We start from the raw sequence: 21,774 nt of genomic DNA, 5'->3' as shown, positions 1-21,774 counted from the left end.
GCCAGCATGACCAACATGGAGAAACCCCATCTCTACTAAAAATACAAAAATTACCCAGGCGTGGTGGCGGGTGCCTGTAATCCCAGCTGCTCGGGAGGCTGAGGCAGGAGAATCGCTGGAACCCAGGAGGCAGAGGCTGCAGTGAGCTGAGATCATGCCACTGCACTCCAGCCTGGGCAACAAGAGCGAAACTCTGTCTCAAAAAAACAAAAAACAGAAACAAACAAAAAAACACACATTCTTTTCAAAAAAGCACATGGAAGAGAAAAAAGCACATGGAACACATTCACTAAGATACTATATTGTGGGTCGTAAAACAACATCTAATTGATAAAACAATTTCACATTCCTTATCAAAATTCCAGCAGAAATTTTTATAGATATAAACAAACTGATTCTAAAAACACACTTGTAATCCCAGCACTTTGGGAGGCTGAAGCGGGTGGATCACTTGAGGTCTTGAGTTTGAGACCAGATCAGCCCGGCTAACATGGCAAAACCCCGTCTCTACTAAAAAAAAAATACAAAAACTAGTCGGGTGTTGTGGTGGGTGCCCCTAATTCCAGCTACTCCGGAGGTTGAGGCAGGAGAATCACTTGAACCCGGGAGACAGAGGTTGCAGTGAGCTGAGATCGTGCCACTGCACTCCAGCCTGGGTGACAGAGCAAGAATCTGTCAAAAAAAAAAAAAAAACCCGAAAAACAAAAACCCAGAAAATAACAAGTGTTGACAAGGATGTGAAGATATTGGAACCCCCCTGTGCACTGTTGGTAATAATTTAAAATGTTGCCGCTGCCATGGAAAAACAGTATGGTTGTTCCTTAAAAATTTAAAATAAAATTATATGATCCAGAAATTCCATTTCTGTGTACGTATCCAAAAGAATTGAAAGCAGGGGCTCGAGGAGGTATTTGCACACCCATGTTTGTAGCAGCAGTATTCACAGTAAGCAACAGGCGGAAGAAACCCAACGTTCATGAATGGATGAATGGATAAATGTGGCATGTACATACTGTGAAATATTACTCAGCCTTCAAAAGGAAGGAGGCTGCGTGTGGTGGCTCACGCCTGTAATCTCAACACTTTGGGAGGCCACAGTGGGAGGATCATTTGAGCCTAGGAGTTTGAGACCAGCCTGGGCAACAGAGCAAGACCCAATCCCTATTTCTAAAAAAAAAAAAAAAAAAAAAAAGAAGAGTGGTAGCTGCCAAGGGCTGGGGAGCGGGGAGCAACGGAGAGTTTTCGTTTGATTTCTTGGGTAGATAATAGCCCTATGCTTATGCTGAAAATGACTTTGTTCTGAAGAAATATATGCTTAAGTATTGAGAGATGAAGTGTCTTGATGTCTGCAACTTACTTTTTTTTTTTTTTTTTTTTTTTTTTTTGATACGGAGTCTCACTCTGTTGCCCAGGCTGGAGTGCAATGGCGTGATCTCGGCTCACCACAACCTCCACCTCTCAGGTTCAAGCAATTCTCCTGCTTCAGCCTCCCAAGTGTCTGGGATTACAGGTGAGTGCCACCACACCCGGCTAATTTTTTTGTATTTTAAGTAGAGACTTGGTTTCGCCATGTTGGCCAGGCTGGTCTCGAACTCCTGACCTCAGGTGATCTGCCCGCCTCAGCCTCCCAAAGTGCTGGGATTACAGGCATGAGCCATTGCACCCGGCTTGTTAAGTTTATTTCTTAAATAATGTAATCGGTCTGGGCGCGGTGGCTCATGCCTGTAATTCCAGCACTTTGGGAGGCCGAGGCGGGTGGATCACCTGAGGTCGGGAGTTTGAGACCAGCCTGACCAAAATGGAGGAACCCCATCTCTACTAAAAATACAAAATTAGCCAGGCGTGGTGGCGTGTGCCTGTAATCCCAGCTACTGGGGAGGCTGAGGCAGGAGAATTGCTTGAACCTGGGAGGCGGAGGTTGGGGTGAGCCGAGATCAAGCCATTGCACTCCAGCCTGGGCAACAATAGCGAGACTCTGTCTCAAAAAAAAAAAAAAAGTCAAATTCACCAATCTTATCCTTTCCATTTTTGAGGGCCCTGTCACTATCTTGATGCGTCTGCCCTCTGCTGGAGATAAGGGGAGCTGCAGGGCAGGTCTTGGTCTCCTCCAGCAATTCATTCCCTGCGTGAGTGTTATTTGGCAGTTAATTCTTCTCAGTCTATGATGTGAGTTTAAGACTATTCTCTGGTTTCCCTAAAATAATAGTAATAATAATAATAATAACGTGGCTGGGCGCGGTGGCTCACGCCTGTAATCCCAGCACTTTGGGAAGCCAAGGTGGGCAGATCACCTGAGGTTGGGAGTTCGAGATCAGCTTGACCAATATGGTGAAACCCTGTCTCTACTAAAAATACAAAAATATTAGCTGGTGCATGCCTGTAATCCCAGCTACTTGGGAGGCTGAGGCAGGAGAATTGCTTGAACCCGGGAGGCAGAGGTTGCAGTGAGCCGAGATTGAGCCATTGCACTCCAGCCTGGGCAACAAGAGCAAAACTCCATCTCAAAATAAATAAATAAATAAATAAATAAAAGAATAACATGTAACATCTATTAAGCACAAACTGTGTTGCAGTCAGTGAGCTTAGCTTTACATCAGTTTCTCATTTAATTGCCACAATACCCTTATAGGTACATACTAGTATTGTTTAATCTCTATTTTACTTTTGAGGAAACTGAGGCACAGAGGGACTAAGAAATGTTCTCAAAGATATGCAGATAGTAAGAGGGAGAAGCTGGGATTCAAATTTAAACCCAAGCAGGTTGCATCAGGCTTGTTACCATAAATCTATTTTTTTGATTTATTTATATGGATTTCTGGGTAGAAGCAGTAAATGGGGCAACAATTTAAATACTCTCCCATCTCTCTTGGGGATTTTTTTTATAAAGTCATATTTTATTTCTATTATAAACTCACAAAAGGGCCCAGAGAGCCCAGAAGTGTGACTCAATCAGCTCAAGTCGCCGAAGCAGCTTTTCCCCTTAACAGTAGTTAATATATTTGCAAAGATCATCCAAAAACAAACACACCCTTAAATATCACCAGGTCAGGAAGTAACTGAAATACTGAACATTTGTTAACTTCTTTTCTTTTCCTCTTTTTTTTGAAGATAGGGTCTCGCTCTGTTGCCTAGGCTGGAGTCCAGTGGTGTGATCATGGTTCACTGCAGTCTCAACCTACCAGGCACAAGCCATCCTCCCACCTCAGCCTCCCAAGTAGCTAGGACCACAGGTGTACACCACCATGCCCAGCTAATTTTTAATTTTTTTTTTTTTTAATAGAGATGGGTTTCCCTATGTTTCCCAGACTAGTCTCAAACTTCTGGGCTCAAGCGATCCTCCCACCTCAGCCTCCCAAATTGTTGGGATTACAGGTGTGAGCCACTGTACCTGGCCTAACATTTTTTTCTAAGGGCTAAATGTCACAGTAGTAACATATTCAGAGGGAAAAAACCCAAATGTCTCATACAAGAAAATGACAGTCCTGATAAACAATGCGAAGAGGGATGTAGAATATCTGTTTATAAACTGCTGTTTTCTTTTTTTTTGGTGGGGGGGTGGGGGTGATGGAGTCTCTCTCCATTGTCCAGGCTGCAGTGCACCTCCGCCTCCTGGGTTCAAGCGATTCTCCTGCCTCAGCCTCCCCAGTAGCTGGGATTACAGGTGTGCACCACCACGCTCAGCTAATTTTTGTATTTTTAGTAGAGACACAGTTTCACTACGTTGGCCAGGTTGGTCTCGAACTCCTGACCTCAAGTGATCCACCTGCTTCAGCCTCCCAAATTGCTAGGATTATAGGTGTGAGCCACTGCGCCTGGCCTGGGGAAAGATTTTTTTTGAGACAGAGTTTTGCTCTGTCGCCCAGGCTGGCATGCAATGGCATGATCTCGGCTCACTGCAACCTCCGCCTCTTGGGTTCAAGCGATTCTCCTGCCTCAGCCTCCCAAGTAGCTGGGATTACAGGCACGTGTCACCACGCCAGGTTAATTTTTGTATTTTTGTAGAGACGGGGTTTCACCATGTTGGCCAGGCTGATCTTGAACTCTTGACCTCAGTTGCTCCACCCACCTCAGCCTCCCTAAGTTCTGGGATTAAAGGCATGAGCCACCGTGCCTGGCCCAGGGAAAGATTTTTAAGGCCAGAGGAAGGGCAAATTCACTTTTCTCGCTTCTGGGGCATTTCTGGCAGCTGTAGTGGGCACCTACATTCCTGCAGTTCCAACAGCAGCAGCAGGGGTGCCAGCAATAGCACCTGGGGGCACTGACTGGTAGTGCCAGAAGGCTGTGTAGTAGGCATGGTTGACGTTTGTATCTGTTTCAGATTTCCCAGCCACACAACCTCACTCCCAGACCATTTCTCTCCCTCAGTAGCCAGCATTAAAAAAAAAAAACAAAAAAGTGACCTGTAACACAAATTCCCAGAGAACTTCAACCTCACACCTGTGTTTTCACTCTCAGTGAGGGGAAATGCATTTGGGGAGGATTGTTGTGACCACAGAGCCACTGTGGAGTACCGCATAAGACTGGGGCTTATGCAGCTCTGACTTTTTTTTTTTTTTGTACTGTCACCTGGCCTGGAGTGCAGTGGATCTGGGCTCACTGCAATCTCTGCCTCCCAGGTTCAAGTGATTCTCTTGCCTCAGCCTTCCAGCTGGGATTCCAGGCGCCACCATGCCCAGCTAATTTTTTATATTTTTAGTAGAGACGCGTTTTCACCATGTTGGCCAGGCTGTTCTCGAACTCCTGAGGTGATTCACCTGCCTCCGCCTCCCAAAGTGCTGAGATTACAGGCGTAAGCCACCGCGCCCGGCCACAGCTCTGACCTTTTAATGTCACTTTCCTGGGCCCTTTTGTGGCACTATGGTGGGATTCTTCAAGTTCTTGACTTTGAGGTCCTGTAAACTGAACCATGAGGCTGACTCTGGTAGTGTTCCCTTTATAAAAACATCACATATATTGTTTATGCGCCTACCTGCACTAAGGAAATATTCACTAAAGCACCTGACAGGGGAAATGACAGCATCATGGCTAGGCCTGCCTGTCTCAGGTTTTTGGGATTGCAATATTACTCTTGACTTCCTATTTGGGAAAGAAAAATAATTCCAAACTTAACCCTTTCTGCCAAAGTTGCTCTTATTTCAGCAGTCAGCTGGCCTTCCTTCCTAGTTGTCCATTTCAACTCCGTACTTGTCAGAGTTGGGGAAATAACCACAGGGTAAGTGCAGGAGGTAACATTTCCCAAAGATTTCAGGGAATACTGGATAACTGTGATTGTTCCATGCGGAAAATTTGGAGTATGTTGGAAAAATATGAGGAATGACTTTAGGTGTAATGACGTCTAGGGTGGTCTCCTTGATGGAACAGATTAATTGGGCAAATGCATTCTTCTCTTGTCCTACCCACCTGGACCACTATAAGCAGCTTGCCTTCACCTAGAAGCAGCACACCTTCACAATTCAGCCCGAGAGATTAACAACTCTACAGTTTTGCATAACCAGATCCTCAAGACCTACACCACCCATCTCCAGGACAACATGCGGGGGCCAGTCATTGACATCATGCTTATTCTAGACAACTGGAAGGGGCAAGAATCCCGTTTCGTGGTAAAACATCTATACTTGATTGGGTCCTTCGGGAAAAACTTGCCACTCACAAATTGCTGGTCCATCCTGTCTATCCCACAAAGCCTGGTGGACCTCCTCCCATCTTAGTGAAAGCACTTACATTTGGGTGTTCTGCTCCAAATGCATTTACCAGCTAGACCCCAAATCTACCACCCACAAGTGGAGCCTTGAGCAAGATATTCTCTTGGTGGTCCAGGCTGCAGCATGATTCTGGCAACTCTCCCCCTTAAAACCTTGCAGAGCTCATTGTCTGTAACAGATCCAAGCCCTACTAGGAACTTGAGGTAAGGATCTGAAGAGACCCTGGTGTTTTGAGCAAGGCCATGCCCATCAGGTTAACTATCCAGGGTTCTGCGGAGATCAGGCATCACTACCCTGGGGCATCACATGACTCTGCAACCTGGACTGGTTGGGATCTGAGAGGCTACCTGTGCACCTGGCTGCACTCAATGTTCCATTAGAAGCAGGTACAGATGGCACTGGGTTTGAGTTAACCCTGAAGGTACCAGTAAGCTGCCTAGTGGTGCCTACACCAGCAAGGTGGCTGTGGGTAGAGAATAAAAACGTGACACTTGGTTCCCAGGTGGTTCTGCATGACATAACAGCATCAGCAGTGAATGCTGAGTTCCAGCCCCATGCTGGACAGCAGTGGAATCAGCCCAAAGACAGAGCTTCAAGGTCAGTGTGTCCTCTGTCTGAACAGACAGATGGCTTACGTCTGGATCCCGGTACAGAGGCCTTGGAAAGAATAAAACTGGAAGATGGAGACAAGGAGGTCCAGGGAGGAGTACGTTACATAAAACTGGACTTCCTAACACAGGCCTATGTGCCACATCACCAAAGGCTTCCAATGCAGGGGTCCAGATGGCCCACTCTTCACCATGACGAAGCCCGAGGCCATGGAAGACATCATCAAACCACTGCCCACGTGTGCCCATCAGGTCTCACTCCAGATGCCTCGCACCTAAAAGCAGGGATGCCACTGTGCTCTGGCCAGAGTTGATGCTGGGGGAGAAGAGCTAGTACCAGCCTAAGGAGGGAGGCCAAGGTTCTCAGGAGTGCAGTGCTCTGAGGAGGGCTGGGTGCCAGGCACCACCTCTGCTTGTACCTTATTACCTGCTTTCTCACCTGCAATAAGAGTGGCCCATACACCCTAAAAGGTTTTCATTTCGGCCGGGCGCGGTGGCTCACGCCTGTAATCCTAGCACTTTGGGAGGCCGAGGCGGGCGGATCACGAGGTCAGGAGATCGAGACCATCCTGACTAACACAGTGAAACTACGTCTCTACTAAAAATATAAAAAATTAGCCAGGCGTGTTGGCAGACGCCTGTAGTCCCAGCTACTTGGGAGGCTGAGGCAGGAGAATGGCGTGAACCCGGGAGGCAGAGCTTGCAGTGAGCAAGATCGTGCCACTGCACTCCAGCCTGGGCAACATAGTGAGACTCTGTCTCAAAAAAAAAAGAAAGAAAAAAAAAGGTTTTCATTTCTTGGGGGTCCCTAGGCCTTCCCTGCAAAGAAGTGGGAGACATGGAGAGAAGCTGGAGTTCATGTGCATGGCAGCAAACGGAAGCTGCTCTGGTTGAGAAACATTCCTCCAGCTCATCCCAGACACTGCTTGAGGGCCTGCATCTGAACAGGGACTATGGATCTATATACTCTCTTCATCATCACAGGTAGTCCCAGTACCCATAGAGGTTGGTCCAAGTGCTTGCTAAGCCACACTAACCTCATAAAATCTTGGTCAACCATGTCTCCCCTGCCAGCAGCCATCTGCTGGGTGGCCCAAGGGCAATGGCAATGCCAGGGCAAATGTAGGTCACTGAGGCCATGGGTGGAGAGACCCACTCCTAATGGCCTCCCTGCTTTTAAGTCACACACCTGCTAATCCTAGCCTAGAATATTTAATTCTTCATGGCTTCATTACCTGTAAGGCAAAATACAACCTCTTTGTGGAACCCAGAAAAAAATGGGGTCTCCTCTTTGCCTTCTGGGTCTTGGATACACCAGACTCTGGCCAGCAAAGCACAGTATAGAGCAGAGGCAGGCGCCTGGCCAATGGTTAGCTTGTGGCTCAGGTCCTGGGTGACACAGGCTAGAGTCCTAAAGCTCCAGATGAGAGATCACTACACTTTTCCTGTAAAAAGTTAAAGATTTTAGTCTTTGGGATTCATATGGTCTCTGTTGCAACTACTCACCTTTGCCACTGTAGTAAAAAGAAGTCAATGAGTGGGTGTGGCTGTGTTCCAACAAAACTTTATTTACAAAAACAGGAAGCAGGCACGTTTGGCCCTCAGACTGTAATCTTCCCATCACTACTCTTAATGATACTCAGATGACCTGGCTGCCTGAGGGGGCTGTGGCCCTGTCTGATTCTCTGTGAGATGGAAACCACTCTAGGGTCTCCTGGTGCGCTGAGGCTGTACACACCGGCAGAACAGGGCACTGCGTTTGGAAGTTTCTGACCAAGTGGTGACAGCAGAGGGCAAAACGTGAAGGCTGTGCTGGATAAGGCTGAACCTTCCTCATAAGCAACACCAACTGCTTTATTCCAGGTCAGGGCCAACTCTTCCGCCATGATACATACATGGTCCCTGGCGGGCACTGTCCTTACTGGGCCCCTAGGAGTCCCTGCGTTGTGGCCTGACCACCAGCCCCTCTCTGGTGATGGCCCAGTTGTAGTTCTTCCGGGAGTCCAATGCTGCTTCCACCCGTGCCTCCAGGTTCTCTCGGGTGATGAAGTTTTTCACCTCTTCCTATCGGGAGAGAAAAGCCCAGCTGAACAGGAGCCTTGGGCACATGCCAGCCAGCCCACCCAGCCTGCTGGCCTCTCACCCCACTGAGAAAGCAGCTCCTGCTCTCCCTGGGGAAGCATGCCTGGAACCCAGGTCCTATTTGAGAGCCCCTCTGGCCTCCCAGTGGAGTGATATCAGGTTGCTTTTCCACGTTCCTCTTTTCTCAGACACTTCAGCCATAGCCCCGAGTGCCAGCTATGAAAATCTCACGTCCTGGTAGGTGAAATCCGTCCCTCAGTGGTCCCCTCTGAATCACTCTAACTCATCCTTCCCCCCATTACTTTATTTATTTATTTATTTATTTATTTTGAGACGGAGTCTCACTGTCGCCCAGGATGGAGTGCAGTGGCGCCATCTCGGCTCACTGCAACCTCTGCCTCCTGGGTTCAAGCGATTCTCATGCCTCAGCCTCCCGAGTAGCTGCGATTACTGGCGCACACCACGCCCGGCTAATTTTTGTATTTTTAGGAGAGACGGGGCTTGGCCAGGCTGGACTCGAACTCCCGACCTCAAGTGATACGCCCGCTTCGGCCTCCCATAGTACTGGGATTACAGGCGTGAACCACCGCTCCCAGCCACCCTTCTATACTTTAAATCAAGCCTCATCCATTCTCACTGCATTACTCCTAAGTGGTCTCCCTGCTTTTAAGTCGCACACCTGCTAATCCTAGCCTGAAATACTTAACCCTTCATGGCTTCATCACCTGTTATGCAAAATACAACCTCTTTGTGGAACGCAGGGTCCCTCCCACAGACCTGCTAGGTACCTGAACACTGTCCAATTACTCCGCTCACCTCCGGGTCTTTGCGCCTGACTGGCACTCTCCTCTCCAAATCCGGACCTGCCAACTGTAAGTCTCTGCACATAGCCAGCGCCCGCGTCGCGGTGCCCAGAATTCCCAGTGCCCCGCAAGCCGCGTCCCCGGCTGGAGTCCCACCCTCCGGAGACGTTGCCCACCTGCAGCTGCAGCACTTCCCGCTCCTTGCGCTGCGCCCAGGCCTGCACCTCTTCGGCCTTGCGGGCCTGCTCCAACGCCTGCCGCTGCTCCTGCTCCCGCTCCTCCTGCCGCAGCCTCGCTATCCTGTGAGGGTCAAAGGGCCGAGGCTGAGCGGGGCCCGGGCTTCTCCCAGGCCGGCCAGGCCGCGCCGCCCCGCCCCGCCTCCCGCCCCACGCACCGCAGCTCGTGCAGCCGCCGGTTCTCCGCCTGGTTCCAGGCCATCAGCTCGCGGTGCTCGGCGGCGTCCTTCAGGGCCTTGCGCTCCGCCAGAACCCCGGCTCGGGCCTCGTGCACCTTCCTCTGCACCTCGGACACGAACTCCATCCTGGGTGCAGACGCGCCAGGAATCAGCACCCTCTCCGCCCACTCCCACCGTCACCAGCGCGCGCGGGCGGCCACCTCCCCCCGGCCGCACACCTGAGGGCGCGCACGGTCTGGCGGTAGTGCTGGTAACGCTCCATCAGCACGAAGAACTCCGCAGGGTCCACCGCGGGCGGCATGTTCACTCGCTCGATCTTGGATTTGGCCAGCGGGTCGTGGCGGGTCTTGCGGCCGCGCGCTGGCAGCACCAGAGGGGCCCGGGGCCTGCACGGGGTCCCCGCGCCCAGGCGGCTCAGCGCGCGTAGCATGGCCGAGTCTCCTCACTGCGGCCGCGGTGCCGGGACGCCACCGTGCCCCGGAAGCGGCGCGGGGAACCTTGGGACCTGTAGTCCTCGGGCTGTCCCTCACGCCCCGCCCGGCCGTGTGGCCTCTGGAACCGAAGCGGCGACCCTGCGGACGTCCGCATCCCGCCCCCAGGCTCTGGCCCGGCCTTCCCGCCAGGGCCCGGGGCCATCCCTTAGTTACTCCCGCCCGCGGGGCCGGACCCGCGTCCCTCCAGCCCCCACGCAGGGAAGGGTCTCAGCGGGGAAGACAGGGAGGGGACGAAGGACAGAACTCGACGCAACAGCTTCGGAGAACCTCACACTTTATTGGAGGATGGCGGGGCGGGGCGGGGCTCTCGGGCTGCGGTCTGCGGAGGGAGAGGTGGCGGTCATGTCTCAGGACACTGGTCTCGTAACCGCCGAGCTGCCATCTTCCTGGTTCTCTCCCCTCTCGTCCCCCCCAGTCCCCATGTGGCCTCCCACAGCAGGACGCCCCCCGCCTCCCGTAGAAGCCTGAGGATCCAGCTAGTGTGGGGATCTCCAGCTCCCTTGGGCATGCCCTCTTGTCCACCCTAAACAAGCCTGACGCATAGAAACCTCAGCACATACACACAAATCAGGCGGTAAGACATTGCCTCATAGGAACTAACCACTTTCTTCTTTAGTTACCGGGCTCTCCTGATGCACTGTAAATGTTTGATTTGCAAAACAGTAGCAAACCATTTCCCCACGCCTGTCTTCTGCTATGGTCTTGGGGAGCTCTGCAGTCCCTGAGATGTTCCTAGTGCACATGTCAGTCACCACCTGGTCCTCTTGGCCCTGTTGTCTGTTTGAGTGAGGTTGCATCCCTCACCTCTTTCCACTGGCCTGGGGTCTGTCCACCTCAAGACAGTCATTGGCTTGTCAGGATGCCTGTGGGATCCCATGGCCACCACTGTCTTATAGAACAATTATCTCCTTCTAGTCTACTAGTGACTTTGGTCTTTAACCCAAGTGCTTTGTAAATTGTCTAGAATCCTCCTGGGAAATAGGAAGGATAGCAGACAGCACCCTGCTGTGTGCAGTAGGGGCACTGAGAAATGGCTGGGGGTGCTGTGGCAGGGGGCATCTCAGTGGTGTTTCATTCTCCCCACCCTCCCAGCACCCAACCCTAAGCCACAATGGCCTCTGATGACCAGTGGCTGGTCTTGATGCTGGGGACCTCTCACCCTACTCACCAGCAGTGTCCGTGCCAGGTGTCGCTTCCTGTGAAGGGACCACTGGGCCGTGGTCCTGCCCTCCCAGGGCATGCTGTCGTCCAGGGGAGCCAGGGCATCACTTGGGAGGCCATGGGCAGTCTGGACTGGGCTGCCTGCTGCAGTGTCCAGGGCCCTTCCTTAGAAGGGAACTGATGCTGTCCTCCCTACCCCGACCTCAGGCTCCAGGAGGGTGGGGGAGCCCCCGGCCATCACTTTCTTCCTCCCCATGAGGCTGGGAGACACCCACCTGGGGGCCTAAGGGCATTCTGGGGATCCTGGGCTGAGCTGAGGGCTCGCTTTCCTCCAGGGTACCAGCCATGGGACCAGTGCTGAGCCTCTGAGGGTCCAAGGTGGGCAGTCAGCAGCAGCAGGAGCAGGAGGCCTCGCCTGGAGCTGGCCATGGCTGCTCTAATGGACAGGGTACAGCATTCAAGGAGACTTACCTCACCCCCACATCCCCCTACTTCCTCCAGGGCCACTTTGGAAAACTGGCATCTCAGGGGCAGCTTTGGTATCTCCTTATGCCCTTCCCTCTCTGCCACCGCTCCTCATCCCAAGCATACAGGGGTCCAGATCCTGGGGGATCCTGGCCCAGCAGGGGATGATGCTCCAGGGGACGAGCCTTCTCCCTGAGCCTGGGGCACAGAGGCTACCTGCCTTGCCAGCTCTGAGGGCCCTCCCACTTGTCCAGGTCCATCCATCTTTCCTTCAAGGAGTTTCCAGAAGTGGAAGAAAGTTGGAGGGGAACAGAGACCTGAATTCAGGCCAATGGATGGGAGGATAGATGGATGGTCAGGGGAGTTCTCAATGTAGGCGTGTTTGGAGCACCAGTGCTAGGGAACCAGAGTTGCAGGCCTTCTGCCCTTTTCTCCGTGGCCTGCTGTATCTCTTCCATAGTAGTTGGGGATGTGGAATGGATGAGTGGTATTGATGGGGGCAAGTGCTTCTACCCCTTATCCCTCCCATGCCAGGGGCAACAAGCACAAGAATAGATGGTAGAGCTGTTGGGGAGAGGAGAGGAAAAGGGGACTTCTCTGGCATGGTTCAGGGGTGGAGGCACCTGGGAATGGGGAAGAGGAGCAGCACACCATACGCCCAGGATGAAACTTGGTCCAGGTGTCCTAGCCCTTAGGGAAGGCTCCCCACTCACCAAGGAAGAGCTGTGGATGAGATGGCTCCTTCAGGCAGCTGCAGGACCCTAGCCTGATGGCCCCAGGATTTATAGACCAGGCAGCTCCACCCCCAGACTCCAGTGACGTCTTCAGAGGGGAAGAGAGAAGCTCACCACCCAACCCGCTTCCCAGAGCATCCAGTCCATGAACATTCACCAGGCAGCTGCTGCCCTGAGGCCACCGACACATGCTCCCTCCCCACCACCTTCCCAGGAGCCTTCAGGCCCAGGACTCTTGCTTTAGGCTGGCCTATGTCCTGGTCTCACCTTCCCACTTCCCAGGCTGCATCTTCAAGCTCCTGATCTTGAGACCTAGAAAGCCCTCACAGCCTTCCCTGATCCCAAAAGAGAATTGTGTCCTGGGCAGGGGCAATGCCTGGGGGCTCCCCAACTCCCAGCTCAGGGCTTTCCCTGGTGGACAGTGGAAGCCTAAGAGTAGGGAGCCTGGCAGGCTGTTCAGAGGTACAGGGGAGGCTGTGACCACTCTCCCAGAGGGCTTCCGTTTGCTCACTGTAGAGTGGGTTGGGTGGGACAATTCACATCCACACACCTGGGAACCAGGGCTGGGTCACTCCAGATGGCTGGGTTTGGGTGGGGCAGTACCTACCCCGGAGTGGCTTCTCTCCTGGCGAAGAAGCGGGCCCATGAGATGGGGCCCAGCTGTTGGGCCAGTGCAGTCTCCCTAGGTAGGTAGAATAATTTTGTCCCTCAAGGCTCTAACCCCTCCCCAGTCATGGATTTGGACACAGCTAGCCTGGGCTGCTGGAAGTGGGCTCTTGCTTCCCAGTCTGCGTCAGCAGCTCAGCTTTCCTTGGCCAGCCATCAGCCTCTGGGGGTCAGAGGCCTGTTTACAGGGTTCATAGCCAATCTCCGCACTTGGGCTGAACAGCAAATGGGAGGGCCAGGGTCATTTGGAGAGCTGGTGCGTCAAATCCTGTGACAAAGATGGGGGAGGGGAGGCATAATGGGCATCAGTCAGCCCTAGACACCTGGACTTCAGCAGCCAAGGCAGGATGGGCACACCTGTGAACTTCCAGACTGACTTATTAGCAGGGACCGGAAATCAACGTGTGGCCCATTTGTTCAGTTAAATTGTTTTGGCTTAAATATGCGGACTTTGTTAACTGGGTGATTTTTAGGGAAACATTTGCTTGTGGTTTAGTGAAAATGAATCTGAGTTCGACGTACTAGTTTAGTTCTGGTTGGGGTTTACAGAATGCTTTCTTCAAAGATGCACCAAGGCTGGTGTACCTTTAAAAGGGGGATGGTTGCCTTTATTTATTCTGTAATTTGATTCCGGCTTTTCCTGAAAAATCTAAACCAGAGCCAAGCTTCCTGGGGAAAGCTCTGCTCCCTTTTTTTTCCGGCAACATACTTAGCTTTTAAGAAATGTTTGGTCCTTTCCAGACTAGAACTGTGGAACTCTTGTATCCCTCTCATTAGAACATAGAAAGCCATCTGTTCACCACGGAGCTCCAGTCCTCAGGATATGAAGTCACTGCAGCCAGGAGCTGCGTGTACTCAGGTGGGAAAGCAGAGGTTCAGAGGTGAATAAACACTCAGGTGCTGCAGGAGCACAGAGAGGCACAAACCCTGAGCAGGCGGCCTGGGTGAAGGACAGAGACGAGTGAGCTGGAGTCACGGACGCAGGGAGTGGCAGCAGAGGGGTGCAGCATAAGGAACAAAATGGAGAAGGGCCAGCAGGAACTGCCGTGGATCCATGGGGCCAGAGTATGTGGGAAGGTTAGAGGAAAGGAGGGCGGGCCCCTGGGTGTGGGCAGTGGGAGGCAGGCATCTCTGGACCACCCTGACATGCGACCAGGATGCGGGGGACTTGGGATTGGAGGAGAGCTGAGGGTCCACAGAGACAGATCCAGAATCCTGACCTCTGAGAGAGGAGACAGTGGAGGAGCAGCTAAAGGGTGAGGATAAGAGGCAGAGGACAGCCTGTGACACAAAGGGGAAGAGACCATGGGTCCCTGGTGTTTAGCACCAAGGTGACCTTGGTGCGCAGGGATGGAAAAGAAATGTGTGGGAATGAAGTGAGGAAGGGGGAAGAGTGAGAACACAGGTTTCTGCAAGTAGTCTCTCATAGAGGGAAGAACTTAGGCCTGGGGTGGGAGACATGCTCTTTATTTAATTAATTAATTAATTCTTTTTCTTTTTCTTTTTTTTTTTTTGAGATGGAGTCTCGCTGTCATCCAGGCTGGAGTGCAGTGGCGTGATCTCAGCTCACTGCAGTTTCTGCCTCCCAGGTTCCAGCAATTCTCTTGCCTCAGCCTCCCCGGTAGCTGGGATTACAGGCACGTGCCACCACGCCCGGCTAATTTTTGTATTTTTAGTAGAGATGGTTTCACCATGTTGGCCAGGCTGGTCTCGAACTCCTGACCTCAGGTGATCCGTCCGCCTTGGCCTCCCAAAGTGCTGGGATTATAGGCATTAGCCACTGTGCCCGGCCTATTTTTTTTTTTTTTTGAGACAGGGTCTCACTCTTTGACCCAGGCTGGAGTGCAGTGGCATGATCACAGCTCACTGTAGCCTCCACCTCATGGGCTCAGGTGATCCTTCCACCTCAGCCTCCCAAGTAGCTGGGACTACAGGCGTGTGCCTCCATGCCCAGATGATTTTTGTTATTTTTTGTAGAGACAGGATCTTGTCATGTTGCCCAGGTTGGTCTCGAATCCTGGGCTCAAGTGATCCACCCGCCTTGGCCTCCCAAAGTGTGGGATTACAGGTGTGAGCCACTGCACCTGGCCTGCTCTTTATTTTTAATGAGAGAGACTTGAGTATTTGGGACAGGGGAGCAATGAAGGAAACTGCAACCCAGGAGGGACCCGCCCAAATGAAGTGAGGTCTCAGTGTGGCAGGATGTAGGGCTTTGGGTGTGTGGTGGGTGCAGGCTGTTACTCTTCCCCTATGGAGAAACACTCCTACCCTAAGCCCCTTGGGTCGCAACTGACTGGCTGTGGGAAGGGCACTGGATGAAGCAGTCACTGCTGCCTTTTCCACACGACTGTGCTGTGTGAGCTTCAGCACATTTTCCTTTTGGCCTATACTAGTTTCTGTTGGGTTCACCTCTCTTGTAAACATGCAAGCCCCGAGTAGAAAGTAAAAGAGGAGTGAAGAGGGAGGCATGAAGGGATGAGGGACACATCTACAGGCTGAGCGAGACACGGAGCAAACAGCTGAGGTCATTCCTACCTGGAGACAATGGTTTTGCACCCAGGTGATGCCTATCCACTGGCCAAATCAGCACGGACTTCAGCAGAAAACCACTCAGGCCATGGTGGCGCACCCTGCTGAAGGCCAGCCCTGGCAATGGCAGGCAGCCTGCTGGGAGGCACACAAGCGCCTATGAACGGCCTCACCTGCACATTCACTGAGTGGCTTGCTGACCCAGTGCCTGCCCTCCTGCATCGACTTGGACTTGGTCACACAGAGCACTGAAGGGTAGCTTGCAAGGAGCCAGGGGCTGCTCCCCAAACTTGGCACCCCTCACCAGAAATTCCTCAGAATCTGTCTTTGCCTAATTTATCCATACTTATCGAGACTGCTGAGTTTTAAGTTTACTGCCTCTTGGGAGTTCGTTAGTTCCTACAGAACTGAATGTCTCTAATGACTCACACTCACCTCCTGTAAACTTCCAGAGGGGGTCTGTTGCAGCCCTTGCCTCCTGCAGGTCTCCTGGGTCCCTTCCGCACATCTCCTTCCTTCCCACAAACATCCTGGGTATGTGGTGCACAGACAGGCTTCCCTCCTGGAGCCACTACATGTTAACTGCTTTATCTGGACTCTGAGGCCCTCTGTAATGTGGCTCTACTTCGCCTTTCCTCCTTTTCACTCATCTAAATTTCCAGCCTCCCATGGGTCCAGCTCAAGTCCCACCTCCTCCAAGAAGCACAGTAGTGCTGATCCCTGAACATGCCTCCATGGGCCAGGCTGAGGTGCCATCTCTCACTCCAGAAGCCTCTGAGGAGCCCAGGCCTGCGCTGGCTCTCAAGAAAGGCCCTGCCTGACAGCCACAGCCACGAGTTCACTCTCCTGCTCCTGTGGTGAGCTGCTCTGAGGCTGGGAGGCAGTGGACAGACCCACTCTCCCAGTGTGCCCCCAACAAAAGATCACACTTCCCCAGCACTCCCTGTAGTTAGGCATAGCTATGACCAGGTGAAAACCTACTTGTGAAGCTGATGAGTGGAATGCGGGGTGGATTATGAGTGGAAGTGAAAAGTGCAGATTTGGCTTCCTGTCCTTAGAAATGAAGCTGCTGGCTCTCCATGCTCTTTCCTCAGGGTGGATTATGGACATGGCAGTGACCCAGCTTCAACCATGAGGATGAGAATAATATCCTAAGGATACTGGGTCTCTGGACAGCACAGACTGTTACGGGAGACATAAATGAACATCCAGCTTCTTTAAGAAACAAAAGTTCAACACTTTTGTCTAACATGTCACTCAAAACCAAGTTCGGATCTAAGACTCCCACCATCTGACTTCTAGATCTGAGAAACATTCACACTGTCCCAGAAATGAGGACACGTATGAAAGAAAATGGGAACAATTCAACACAATATATGTGGACATAAAGATTTATCCTAGATAGGGTGACACAATCCAGACAGTTTTGTAGCAAAGCACCACAGACTGGAGAGGTCAGACTGGCCTCAGCCCAAAGCTGAGCCAGCTCTAGTCTCCCCTGTGCCCCTGTCCTTAAGGAGACTCAGTGAGGACCTGGCCACCTTCCTAGGGAGGGAGGCTGGCCAGGACCACTAAACCAAAGATGTGCTGGGAATGAAAGGAGGGTCCTGGAGATCACCTAAGAACTGGAAGGGCTGTGTTTGGTGGACAGGAGGAGCTGGGGGACTGTGGCCTCTCTCAGATAACTCAGAGAGAACAGCAACAGGAGGGCCATGAACAGCCGAGGAGAGCCCCAGCCTGTATGGCTGCCCCACCCCCAGACAAAGGGAGAGACATTTCCTCAGGGAGTCAAAGCTTTTATTACCTGATAGTCCCTAGTGTGGTGCCAGAGATACCGCTCTGGTCCTATTACTCCCCATGATATCAGTGGTGGGGATGGGGGAGGGGACCAGGGAGAGAGGGGAGGGATATTTACAGTGCATGGTGGTACGGGGACAACCACTTTCCTCGAGAGCTCTGAGAACTTTGTGCTTTTTTTCTTAGTTGGTGCCGAGCTACCTGGAATGGATTTTGTGTTTATCTTCTTTAGGGAAAGATGTATTAACCAAAGCACAATCCAGCCCAATTTCTCGGCTGAGGATTTCACGATATCAATCCAAACATCACACTATTTAATTCCCCAATAAAACATTGGAAAAAGGACTATCAGTGCTAACACATTTACATATAAAATTTCCACCTAATAGGTAATAGAAGCCTATGTACCAATTTCTAAAACAGTTATAAGATATATACACAATTTGGGGTATATTAACAAAACAGAATATTACAAAATATTAAAGGCAATCCTCCTGGTCCACGGACCCTTGTTGCCGCTTACTTGAAGTTGGCATAATCTGAGAATGCATCAATATACTCCTGCACCACCTTGTAGCAGAACTCATACTGTTCCTGGAGAGTGAAAGGTAGGGAAAAAGTCAGGGTTACTGAAGAACACACAGTACCTGTAATTCCTAACAGACTCATTTTTTTGTTGAAGATGGAAAATCAAGAGGAACTGAATGTTTTTGAACTTTCACCTGAGCTCTGATCTGCCTGCCAGAGTTCTGACAGCATTCCCCTTCCGGGCTGAATGCAGCAGACCTTCTACAAGCAGAGCTGACCAGAGCTGACCCAGGCCCCACAGAGGTCAGACAGGCATGTGCTGGGCTGGGAGACAGTGCAGCTGAGCATGGCCCACGCTTACCATGGCTGCCAGGCTAGCATGCACCCTGGCTCTCAGAACCTCGTCTCCCAAACCTCCTAACATTCACTTTTCTTTACCCCCCAAACATTTCTAGCTCCATGGGATTCAGGAAAACCTCTGTGGATGTGCGGCTTATTAAAGTCAGACCTCTTAACAGGGAGCCCAAGCCCAAAGGCAGGTACTCTTCATGGATCTTCCTTACCCAAGACCCACAGAGAAGTACAGATGAGCCCTGTGGGGCACCCAGACACCCCTTCTAACCTGGCCCAACCTCTGGCAACAGGGGCTATGCTCCCATTGCTGCCATCCTGCCTCCCAATGTTTCCTGTGTATTTGGGGCACCTTGGGAGGGCAAGGGCAGGTCTGTGTTTAGACAGTCTTCTGACTACTGGGTGGGCCCCTCTGAAGAGCCTCCTCCCTGAGAGAAGGGCTGCAGGTGGTGTGGTGGCAGGGACAAATATGTGGGCAGCATACCAGTGTCTGGACCATGTGTGGCCTCTGTAGCCGCAGGCTCTTGACAGTCTGGAAGACATCCAAAATCCCCTCTGCTTTCACACGCTCCAGGACGGTGCTCAGGGCACAGAAGGTCCCCGTCCTTCCTGCCCCGGCGCTGCAACAGAGCAGACACATTTACCACACCTGTGATGGCCCTCTGTGCAAGGGGGTGAGTGACAGTGGTGAGTGGCAGAAGAGGTGGGGGCAGGCAGCTGGTGCTCGCCTTTGCCCTGTGGACCCACCAGCCTGGAGGGGTTCTGGGTCGGGAGGCAGTGTACCCTGTGCCCTTCCTGCATGGCCCCATGTGCTGTGGAGGGACTCACCTGTTGGACCGTGGGGGACGACCTTCACTCACACCCCACCAGCACAGAGCCATTGCTGTCCACCTGCACATGCTGGCCTAGGTTGTTCTGACCTGCTGTTCGCTCAGTTAGAACTAGCTCTAGTCCTGTCTTTCCCTTTTTCTGACAAACCCCACTCCCTACACTGGTGTGTATCTGCTGATTCCTTTCCATGTCTTTCACTTTCTTCCCAAATCCACGGAATCCAGACTCTGACCTTGACAATATCCCCCTATTCAATGTCATCAGCTGATTCACTCACCAGACACTGAGTGCCTACTCTGAGGCAGGGACTGTGGGGTTTAGCAATGTCCCCAGACAAGAAGATGTGTGGTAAGGAAAGAGAAAAGAGGAGTGGGAGTTCTGGCAGGGTACTCAGGGAAGGCTTGGGCAAAGCCCTGTGGCTGCCTGGGAAACTGGCATCTCAGGCCCATGGCAGGAGTGTGCTCAGAGCCAGCCCATGGTGCACACCATCCTCTCCCGGCCCTGGCCAGGGACCCCTCAGAACATATTGGGCCTTGTAAGCTGTTGTTAGGATTCTAAGTAAAGGAGTGCATTTTTTCTAAAACGTAACCTCCAGCAACATGCCCCATACAAAATTCAACTTTTCCCCTCAAACAAACCTCTTTACTGTCTCTCTTCTGCTGGTCACACCAACCCAGGCTCAAACCTGGGAGACACCCTTGACTCCTCTTCTCTTTCACCCTCTGTTCATAGCACAACCGGGGTCTCCACTGCCAGTCTCCCCTGCTGCTCTCCTGCCCACTATCTGAACATTAGTCCCCTAGCACTTATTGTGCCAAGTTCAAGCTCCAAGGTCCTCTCTCTTAGCATCCAATCCTGTCTTGGCATCAATCTCAACTACTATGTGCTCACCAATATCTTGCTCTTGTATGGCTTTCTTCAGTCTGACCCATGGTCATCAGCTTCCCCTATCTGCCCCTCCTCGCTTTCTCTCTCCCGCTGAGGGCAAGGGTGAGCCATACCTGCAGTGCACGGTGATGGGGTGGTTCCCTGACTGCTGCTGCTGCTTCTGCACGGCGGCGATGATGCTGATCATGCCCTTTCCGTCACTGGGGATGCCCACTTCAGGCCAGCCATGGAAGTGGAACTGCCGGATCTGCCGGCTCTTATTCTCCTTTGGAAAAAAGGGGATCAGGGAGGCAGGGGTAACCCTGCTTTTCCTGTGGGCAGAGTCCACCCACGACCCATCTTACCCTGGTGTTGGTGACCAGGAGGTCTCGGACGGTGTAGCTCTCACATTCCTCCTCCTTCTTCAGTTCCACTGTAATATCTCCATAGGACACCAGTCCATCAGATGGCCAGTACTGGGCACACTTCTCCTGGAGAGACAGGTTGGAGAGGTGAGGAGCTCAGAGTACCACATGTGTAGAAGCAGCACTGCCCACGAGCAGCCTGACCCCTCTCAGTACAGCCACCTCTTACGCTGATACGCTTCGTCCCCAAGGTATTGAAAACTTGCAGGATCATTATATCACATCATTCCAATTAACCTCCGATCCTCACCAGAGACCATCTAAAACACTGCCGGGGTCTGTAAAGGACTCTGACTACAGGCTCACAGGGTATCCAATACTTGGTGGCTGCAGGGAGAGGAGGACGAGTGAAAATCTTTGTTCCAATTCCTTTCTTTTTCTCCCATGGGGTGTTTTCATATTTAATGCTGCTTACATCCGCCAGACTGCTAATTCAGAAAATCAGAACCAATTCACATTCCCACACAGCCATGGGCTTCACCACCGCCCAGGCCACAGTATCCTTTCTCCCTTTTACCTTTATCTCTTTGATCTGCAAGGTACCTTCAAGTTGCTAGCACTCGCCTTTCTGTCCTTGCTAGTGAGCAGGAGGTGGTCTACTGTCTGTCTTTGCTTGCACCTGGCTCACTTCCCTCTACAGCTCCTTGTGGGAGTGGCTGCGTCTCTTTTCATCTCTGTATTCCCCACACCTTGCACAATGCCTGGCACATGGTAGGCTCTCAGTATCTGGTAAATGAATTTGTTCAATGTCTGCAGAACAAGCCAAGGCATAAATACATAAATATAACATCACACAGTTATGCTGCCCATTTCTTTAGAGAATTTGGGGGTAAGATCTGAGATTCTTCACTACTGGCAATTGAAAAATTCTCAACCATACATATAATGTCATTGAAAGATTTGGAAAAAAATTAAGTAGAAAAAGAAATTGTGAATAGTCTCACAGTCCAAATAAAATCATGATTATTAAAGTGTTGAATCAAGAACATGCCCTGGACTAGTGCTTTTCCACCCATGTTCTCTAGAAGCCCTGGGGATGCCTCAGGGATCGGTGCCCTGGGCCTCTCTTCAACCAGAACAGCCAAAAAAAAAAAAAAATTCTCATTAAGGCTCACCTCGATCAGGCATTATATTAGTTTTTATGGCACTGGTGGGTGGAATGGATTTTGCTACCACAGTGCCTTCTCAACACTGCTTTACACAGTGTCTCAGCTGGGATGAAGACTGGGCCTTTAAAACCATCAGAACCATAAGGTCCCCATGGGTGTGAGCCACAGTGTGTGTGTGCTGGAGGAATTGAGCATGATCTCTCAGAC

The 21,774-nt window shown here is 51.7% G+C and overlaps 3 protein-coding genes across 34 annotated transcripts in view, besides 3 other annotated features; all 3 read right to left on the bottom strand.

The window, feature by feature from the left end:
- Positions 1–7,858: 7,858 nt before the first annotated feature.
- On the bottom strand, positions 7,859–10,057 carry MRPS26 (mitochondrial ribosomal protein S26). Of its 2 annotated transcripts, none has more exons than XM_047440390.1 (4): positions 9,829–10,057; positions 9,590–9,736; positions 9,209–9,495; positions 7,859–8,374 (listed from the first exon to the last, which is right to left on the bottom strand). In XM_047440390.1, exons 1-4 carry the CDS (start codon positions 10,038–10,040, stop codon positions 8,229–8,231), a joined length of 792 nt encoding a protein of 263 aa, XP_047296346.1. In that variant the 5' UTR covers positions 10,041–10,057; the 3' UTR covers positions 7,859–8,228. The 2 variants fall into 2 exon arrangements, with proteins under 2 accessions (XP_047296346.1, NP_110438.1); NM_030811.4 differs by having other exon boundaries at positions 9,372–9,495.
- Positions 9,116–9,175: an enhancer, noted in NCBI's record as "active region_17475". NCBI's record gives its function as "activates an Ori minimal core promoter by ATAC-STARR-seq in GM12878 lymphoblastoid cells {active_cell/tissue: GM12878}" and the evidence as "EXISTENCE:reporter gene assay evidence [ECO:0000049][PMID:35858748]".
- Positions 9,546–10,415: a silencer, noted in NCBI's record as "silent region_12612". NCBI's record gives its function as "represses an Ori minimal core promoter by ATAC-STARR-seq in GM12878 lymphoblastoid cells {active_cell/tissue: GM12878}" and the evidence as "EXISTENCE:reporter gene assay evidence [ECO:0000049][PMID:35858748]".
- Positions 10,362–12,487, bottom strand: GNRH2 (gonadotropin releasing hormone 2). Of its 4 annotated transcripts, none has more exons than NM_001501.2 (4): positions 12,444–12,487; positions 11,541–11,701; positions 11,273–11,430; positions 10,362–10,423 (listed from the first exon to the last, which is right to left on the bottom strand). In NM_001501.2, the coding sequence occupies exons 2-4, from the start codon at positions 11,692–11,694 to the stop codon at positions 10,373–10,375; spliced, it is 363 nt and encodes a 120-aa protein (NP_001492.1). In that variant the 5' UTR covers positions 11,695–11,701; positions 12,444–12,487; the 3' UTR covers positions 10,362–10,372. The 4 variants fall into 4 exon arrangements, with proteins under 4 accessions (NP_001492.1, NP_847901.1, NP_847902.1 ...); NM_178331.2 differs by having other exon boundaries at positions 11,273–11,409; NM_178332.2 differs by having other exon boundaries at positions 11,273–11,406.
- Positions 10,516–10,575: an enhancer, noted in NCBI's record as "active region_17474". NCBI's record gives its function as "activates an Ori minimal core promoter by ATAC-STARR-seq in GM12878 lymphoblastoid cells {active_cell/tissue: GM12878}" and the evidence as "EXISTENCE:reporter gene assay evidence [ECO:0000049][PMID:35858748]".
- Positions 12,488–17,439: 4,952 nt separating the features above from the next.
- PTPRA (protein tyrosine phosphatase receptor type A) overlaps positions 17,440–21,774 on the bottom strand; it is a 174,486-nt gene continuing 170,151 nt past the window's right edge. For 25 of the 28 annotated variants that reach the window (NM_002836.4, NM_001388321.1, NM_001385306.1 and 22 more), the window contains 4 exons: positions 20,399–20,524; positions 20,168–20,319; positions 18,820–18,955; positions 17,440–18,050 (listed from right to left, as the gene is read on the bottom strand). In NM_002836.4, coding sequence (NP_002827.1) covers positions 17,976–18,050; positions 18,820–18,955; positions 20,168–20,319; positions 20,399–20,524 — 489 coding nt within the window. In that variant the 3' untranslated portion in view covers positions 17,440–17,975. Of the gene's footprint in view, positions 18,051–18,819; positions 18,956–20,167; positions 20,320–20,398; positions 20,525–21,022; positions 21,209–21,774 lie in introns of all 28 variants that reach the window. The other 3 variants (NR_170936.1, NM_001385312.1, NM_001385310.1) reach the window with 3 other exon arrangements.

The sequence above is a fragment of the Homo sapiens genome, chromosome 20, assembly GCF_000001405.40.
Source record: "Homo sapiens chromosome 20, GRCh38.p14 Primary Assembly".
NCBI lineage: Eukaryota > Metazoa > Chordata > Mammalia > Primates > Hominidae > Homo > Homo sapiens.
Note: the sequence above shows the minus strand (reverse complement) of the source record. Positions and strands in the feature narration are given on the sequence as shown.

Bases quoted from the DNA above. Each gene is read 5' to 3' on its own strand.
- GNRH2 (NM_001501.2), bottom strand. From the start codon at position 11,694: ATGGCCAGCTCCAGGCGAGGCCTCCTGCTCCTGCTGCTGCTGACTGCC. The intron at 11,431-11,540 runs GTGGGTGTCTCC...TTCCCTTCTAAG, and splicing joins GAATGCCCTTAGGCCCCCAG to GAAGGGCCCTGGACACTGCA. The intron at 10,424-11,272 runs GTGAGTAGGGTG...CTCCCTCCGCAG, and splicing joins ACCTGGCACGGACACTGCTG to ACCGCAGCCCGAGAGCCCCG.
- MRPS26 (XM_047440390.1), bottom strand. From the start codon at position 10,040: ATGCTACGCGCGCTGAGCCGCCTGGGCGCGGGGACCCCGTGCAGGCCC. The intron at 9,737-9,828 runs GTGTGCGGCCGG...GTCTGCACCCAG, and splicing joins CAGACCGTGCGCGCCCTCAG to GATGGAGTTCGTGTCCGAGG. The intron at 8,375-9,208 runs GTGAGCGGAGTA...CTCTCCCGATAG, and splicing joins TCAGGCGCAAAGACCCGGAG to GAAGAGGTGAAAAACTTCAT.